This window comes from Homo sapiens, chromosome 20 (genome assembly GCF_000001405.40).
Source record: "Homo sapiens chromosome 20, GRCh38.p14 Primary Assembly".
NCBI classification, from domain to species: Eukaryota; Metazoa; Chordata; class Mammalia; order Primates; family Hominidae; genus Homo; species Homo sapiens.
The window spans coordinates 22,608,298-22,615,624 of NC_000020.11; the positions used below are offsets into that span (position 1 = coordinate 22,608,298).

General features: G+C 42.4%; 1 annotated feature.

Annotated features, from left to right (window-relative positions):
* Positions 3,251 to 3,921: an enhancer, noted in NCBI's record as "OCT4-NANOG hESC enhancer chr20:22592186-22592856 (GRCh37/hg19 assembly coordinates)". NCBI's record gives its function as "activates a minimal SCP1, AML or CMV promoter by ChIP-STARR-seq in naive H9 embryonic stem cells {active_cell/tissue: H9 hESC(naive)}" and the evidence as "EXISTENCE:reporter gene assay evidence [ECO:0000049][PMID:30033119]".

Below are 7,327 nucleotides of genomic sequence, written 5' to 3' on the forward strand. Positions count from 1 at the left end.
TATATGGAGGGACCCCGTTAAGCAATTTTCACTGGATGCAGTTTCAGCTTGAAAGAACAAAAAGTAGAAGAAAAGTGTCTAGGCTCTTTTAACCTTCAAGCATGGCCACACTTAGGAGGATGATCACCTGAGAATCATAAGTTCTTTCCTGAAGACTCTGTAGAAGGACATTTGGATTACAAATCATTTTTGACGTTCATCAAGTACTCAAATATATGTTTTAATTGTGCCTGATGCACATTGCTTCTTTTATAATGCACTAATCTTACTCTAAGCAAAGTATGTAGCAATTTTGAGATAAGGAAGAAAGTTTCTGAGCTTTCATGAGGTGGCTGTCAAGATCATGACCACCTGTGGGGTGCTGGGTACATTACCCTTGAGAAGATGCTCTGAAATGACATTGTTTCTTCTTTTCATTTATCGCAAAGGGTTTCATTCTTTATTTATTTATTTTTTTTAGTTGGAGTATCACTCTGTTGCCCAGGCTGAAGTGCAGTGGTATGATCATAGCTCACTGCAGCCTCAAACTCCTGGCCTCAATTGATCCTCCCACCTCAGCCTCCTGAGTTGCTGGGAATACAAGCTCATGCCACCATGCCGGGGTAATTTTTTTTTTTCTGGTGGCGGAGGGACAGGGTCTTGCTATGTTGCCCAGGCTGGTCTCAAACTGCTGGTCTTTAGTTACCCTTCACCCTTACCATCACAAAGTATTGAGATTGCAGATGTGGGCCACAGCACCTGACCAAGGGCTTCATTCTTAATGTCTACCTTCTGTCCTGGATTCTGGATCCTTTGAATAGATTCCACCTGTGAGAAGCTTGAAAACATCAGATGTATGCAAATTAAAACCCTAGGTACTAATTTTACCTATTAAATTGGCAAAAATTCTAAAATTTGTTAACATGCAGTATTGGCCAAAGTTTCACTAAAAAATATGCCCTTGTAGCGGTATGGGAATAAAATCAGTACAGCTTTTATGGACAGATTGGTAGCCCATGCTTTGTCCCCACAATTCTGCTTCTAGTTCTTCATCCTGCAACTGTAGAAGTGAACAAAGATTTACATGTCACATTTATTGTCATAGTGAAAACATGGAAACATCATGCTAATCAGCAGGAGACTAGTTACATAAAGCATACTCATACAAAGGAATTTTAGCAGCCATGAAAAAGGATGACTAATTACAATGCGCAGGCACTGAGGGGTCTCCAAGACACAGTGTCACGAGAAAAGCAAAGGGCAGATATAGTTTATTCCTCTTTGTAGACAAAGGCACACATATGCTTAGATACATGCAGAAAATTTCCTGGAGGATAGAGAATAAATGATAACAACTGGTAATCTTTCAGGTGTGGAACTGACAACCTGAGGGGAGAGGAGGAAGAATTTGCTTTTTATTTTATAAACTTTTGTATGACTTTGTTTAAAAAAAATCATATTTGTATATTATATTATTATAATCAGGGTTGTTTATTTATTTATTCATTTAAAATGGAGTCTTGTTCTATCACCCAGGCTAGAGCGTGGTGGCACAATCTCAGCTCACTGCAAACTCCCCCTCCCGGGTTTAAGTGTTTCTCTTGCCTCAGCCTCCCAAGTAGCTGGGATTGTGGGCGGGCTCCACCATGCCTGTCTAATTTTTGTATTTTTAGTAGACATGGGGTTTCACCATGTTGGCCGGGCTGGTCTGGAACTCCTGACCTCAAGTAGGCCACCCCCCTCAGCCTCCCAAAGTGCTGGGATTACAGGTGTGAGCCACTGCACCCAGCCTAATTTTTCTTTGTAATAAGCAAAAAAATCCATCTGTGGCCGTGACTCTACATTTCCTGAATTAATCCACACTACTGGATTAGTGTGGTAAACAAGAGTTTACCACCTGGCCACCTCAGTCTCTCTGACAATCTCTTAAGCACGAGTGAGAAGTCTTAATTCTTAGCATTCCTGTGCTCAGGTCTTTCCTGTCATATCAAAAACATTACGTTATGTTCTATGAAACCCCCTGGGCTCCAGACCTCTTCCCTCCCCGTAATGCTTTCCTGGTTCTCTGAACGCTTTAGCAGTTGTATCAACCTTCGTGAATGCCATCGTATTCGTTTTCTATTGCTGTATAACAAATTGCCATAAGCTCAGAGGCTTGAAACACACACATTTTTTTTTTTTTTTATATCATGGTTTCTGTGGTCAGGAATCCTGGCACAGCTTAGTAGGCCCTCTACCTCAGGACCCACAACATGCCGAGTTCCAGGTGTTGTCTGGGGCTGGGATCTCATTGTAAGGCTCAGCCAGGGGAGGATCCACTTCCAAGCTCATGAGGCTGTTAGCAGAATTCAGTTCCTTGCCTTCTGTTGAATTGAGGGCCTCAGTCTCTAGCTGGGTTCTAGCTGGGCAAGGCCATCTCAGTTCCCTTCCACATGGGCCTACCAACATGGCCCCCAACATATCCCTTGCTAATTTACCAACACCAGCAAAGCAGAGAGTTGACCAGCAAGACCGATGTTCCAATTGTATATAATCTTGTGTGATTCATCTACCAGTTAGAAGCAAGTCACGAGTCTCACCCACACTCAAGGGGAGAGGATTATGTAAGGGCATAAATACCAGGAGGTGGGATAATTGGGGGGTCACCTTAGAATCAGCCATAGTCATGAAAGTTGTATGACATTCGGGTAGCCTAAAAGGAATGCCATCAGGAAAGTCTAATAATCGTGAATGATTTTCCCTAAGGGTCTCCTCATCTCGTCACTTATTTAGAACTTCCCTGGGGTCTTTCCAGACCACTCTTCACCCACCCTGTGCTTATTCCTCTATCTCCTTTTCTTCTGGGCTTCATGTGATAATGCCAACCTGTGTTGAAAGATTAATTCAAGCCTTTCCTCCTTGTGTCCTTTGCCTGTATCCTGAGGGTTATGGGAAGTGGCTTGGGAGCAAGGAGAGGTGGGATTACATGGCAACCAGTGGGCTCCTTCTGGATCTGGTTCCTGGCCCAAGTGTTACCTTCCTGCCACCCAGGCTCAGCTTGCCTACTGCAACCCTGCACTGCTACTCACTCTGTGTTATGTTTCTTTTCTTTTCTTATAAGAGTAATCACCCTCTTAAGTTCCCTGGTGAACTTCTCTGGGTAGGTGGGTCTGGAACCCAATGGATGTTCCACAGAACGTTACTGAATGCTTTTACTATGACAGGGAAGACCATCTCCCTCTGAAGTTTATTTTCTTGTTTTTATCTGCTTTCCCTCTAGAGGGTTAAGATGAAGCGGTCTTTTTTTTTCCTGGTCCACTGCAATATTTCCAGGACCTGAATGGCTCCTAGCACATGGTAAACATCTAATAAGTATGTGTGAAGTAAATAATTGGATTAGTCATTGAGTACTCAATGTGTCCTGTGAATCCAGTAGGTGGAGGAAGCACCATTGCTGCCATGGTTCTAAGGGTCATTTCTCACAACTATTTCTTAGGTAGCTGTATAGCTATGAACCTAAACCCCTTGCAATCCTAGTGTTACTGACTTTTGTCTTGCTAATATCTAAGCATTCCTTATCCTCCCTCTCTTCTCACTAACCATTGAGGATTACAATGGCTAGACTAAGACATACTCCAGGAAATCAGCCCACAGGGTGTGATGGGACCCTGGAAGTGGCTTCCCATCTTCTGTCTCTGCATTGGTCAGTGGCTAGAAATGTCTGGCTGTAACTAAGAAATAGCTACAAAATTTGGAGCCTGACAACTGCCCCTGTTTACTTGCATATTTGTTGCCACAGAGGGCATAATTATAGACAGAGATTGAGAATGGCAGTAATGATGTGTCAGCCTCATAAGGTGCTCAGGGTGTGTCAGGCTGTGAACACTGTGCTTCGTCTGTGGCAGTGTCTCCCTTAATCCTCACACCAGCCCTTCCTGGATGGGAGGTGGGGGTGGTTCCCACTGAGGCATCACTAATTCTAAAAACAACTACCTGGTCAAATGTAAATGCAAATTCTAAGCCAGCTTATTAGGCGAATGTCAGTGAAAATAATTTTAATAGCATTCTTGCATTAGGAAGAAGCCTTAATGAAAACACAATTTTAACATAATTAGATTGAAATAGTTCAGCACTGCATACATAATCTGAAATGATCTTACTTAAGTTCACCTAGCACATTGACAAGTCACCGTTGTAAGCTTTTAAGAAATGGATTTCTAATATTTGATTTTTCTTAGTGTTTATTCAAAATTTAATTTTACCATTAAAATTTGCATTATATGGCTCATTAAGGCAACACCTTTCTCATTACTGTAACAAGAAGACACGTTCAAACAAAGGCACTTCAGAGTGCTTGGGCCTTTCTGAAGGTCCACACCTCACAGGCCTTCTTTGAGCTGGCCAGTGTTTCTTGCTCTTAGTCACAGATATCTTCTCTCACATTGATAAGAATGGACATTTTCTGTCAAATTTTAAGTCGTTAAAAAATAGCCTACATTTTCATTGACCTCCTTCTTTTTAGAGTCTATTTCTGAAAACCAATGCTTTCTTTCAGTAGCGTGTCCCTGCTATCTCCTCTTCACTGTTTGTGGGTAGGGAGTGAGGGTAGGAGTGGGGATGACAGTCTGCTAGAAGCCCTTCAAAAGAAGGGGAGGACAACACTGCCCAGCGCCATCACCACACAGATTGTCCCATAGTGCTGGGAGACAGGGATGGCAAGTTCACAGCAGGAATATTTTTTCCACTGTACTGGTATGTGCCAAATGTTTATGTAGAGGGGGTAATTAGGTGCTGTTTTTGGTGAACGAAGCACCCCATGGGCTTGGTGGGGTCTTGGAGACAGCACGTGCTGTGTGCTAGAACAACCTGCAGTGAGAGATGACACAGGCTTGCATCTGGTTGTCCCACTTCTGGATTGTGTCACTTTGGGCTACTTTCTTCACTTTGTTAAACTCCAATTTCCTTATATATGAATTGAGGGTAAAGGGAAGTGATAAGTTCCCAAGGTCTTTGGAGGCTTACTATTTAATGAACACATTCTTACATAGTACCCTCTTTGACAGGAGGTAAGAAGTCAAGTTGTAGTATTTCCAGCCTCACCCTCAGGATATCCCACCAATTTCTAAGGTAGACCAGTGTCTCCCTAGGACTCGTACAAAGCTGGGAATCTGACAGCAAGGAAGAGGCATGGGGACATTGCCCGATGTGTAGAAAACCACCATGTCTGCCACAACATGCAACACCAGAAGAGAGAAGAAGAACCCATGTGGAGAGAAACCTCATCCAAGGAACTGAAGAAAATCCCCATAGTGAGCCCTCCTGGCTGCTTCTTCCTCGCTTGTGCTTAAGACAACTCCTGTTTTTCGTTCCACCCACCCACTGCCCAATCTTCCTTTTTTCCCAATGTTCATTTTTACTAAATGTCATCTCCACTCATGCAGGGGCTTAGACCCCAAACCCAAGTTTTATTCTTACTTTCTTACTTTCCCACATAGTCAGTGTCCAATCCACGAGCAAGAGTTGTTGACACAAACCTCAAACACCTCTCATCCCCTCCACTGATGCCCTAATGGTCCAAACCATCTATTATCTCTTTGTAGTTCTTGGGACCACTGGAGCTGCTAAGTAAACATTCTTCTTCTTCTATGCTTTGCCCCTAACCCACGGCAGACAGGAATCTTTAAAAATGTAAATCTGATCATATCACTTCCATCCTTAAAGCTCTCCAATAGTGTCCCATTGAACAAAATGAAATCTCTGCAGAAATAAACCTCTGGAGAAATATAGATTGACTACAATCCTCAGCCCCTAAATTATACTGCAGAGGGGAGGATGCTTAGGATTCAGATAAAATGGGAAGGAAGTCAGTGACAGTGTAGTCACCGTAAGCCAGAGGTAGAAAGTCCAGTCAGAACCACTCACTCATAAGCATGCTGAAAAGTGGAAAAGCAACTATGCAAATAAACTTCAGCAAAAAAGAAGAGACATAGTGTGCTCTGTCCATTAGGATGATTCCAGCTGCAACTATCAGAACATCTTGCAAGAAACGTCTGAGACAAACAGGGATTTTTTCCCTCATATAACAAGTCTGGAGGTGGGGAGCTGATTGATCTCAGTGCTCTGGGTCAGCAGCTGTGCGGTTCTCTCAGAACTGGCCTCCTGATCACTAAATGACTTCAGTAGCTTAGTGCATCGCATCCCCACCGCACAGTCACTGGAAGGGGTAGGGGCAATGCGGGGCTGTTCTCCTCTGCTCACTTCCTATTCTCTCACTGCAGAGAATCAGTCCTTCCCAGAATCTTCCCAGCAGAGCTCAGAATTTGCCTTAAGTCACTTTGGCCAGGACTGTGTCACAAATCACTACAGCCCACTGGTCTGGCACATCTTATCTGAGATCAAGGATCTCCCCTCAAGGCCTGAATAAGGTTGGGGTTCTGTAAGTAAAAAAGGGGGGAATATTGCCCAAATAAGTGGGCAACCACAATGGCTGCACCATGTGCAGAAAAGGGAGAGGAAGAAGCCAGACTGGAAAAGGCATAATGCAGGAAGCAGAAGAAAGTTCCCCACCAGCGAAGGCTTCATTTCGTGTTATCGAGGCGCTAATGAAGGACATGAACTAAGGAAGAAGACGGAGTCACTCAATAACTTAATGCAATGTGTGATTCTAGACTGGCTCCTGGACAGAAAAAGGACGTTGGTGAGGCAAGTGGTAAGATTGGAGTAGATCCAAAGGCTGGTTCACAGGGCTGTGTTACTCTTAATTTTCTGGTTTTGATACTTGCACTGTGATTATATAAGATATTAACTTTTGAGGAAGCTGGGTGCAAGACATATGAAAGAAAATTCTTCGTACTATTTTTGTAACCTTTTCATAAGTCTGAAATTATTTCAAAGTGAAAATTAAAAAATAAAAAAACTCAAAAACAAGAAATTGAAAAAATTGTATGAAATAAGTTTTTTTTAAGCTAAGAGCATAAATTGAGAAACTACTTCTATCCATAACTTGTACATATAGCAGGAATTACCAAGAATATACCTAACAGGGCTAAAAGCTGTGTAAGTGACCCAGAAAAAGCCTGAGATAATGACAATTAACTATAATTAGACAATTAATGGAAACATCATAGATATAGAAGACAAATAACTTATGTTTAAACACTTTGTTTGCTTATGTCCTCATTTTTCACAGCCAGAGTCAGATATTGTCAAAAGTTGAAATGTATCCTCAGTAATAATGACTACAATCTTATAAAGGTTTTTTTTCTTTCCTTTTCTTTCTTTCTTTGTTTCCTTCTCTTTCTTTTTTCAGATGGGGTCTTGCTATGTTGCCCAGGCTAGAGTGCAGAGCTATTCTCCAACATGATCATAG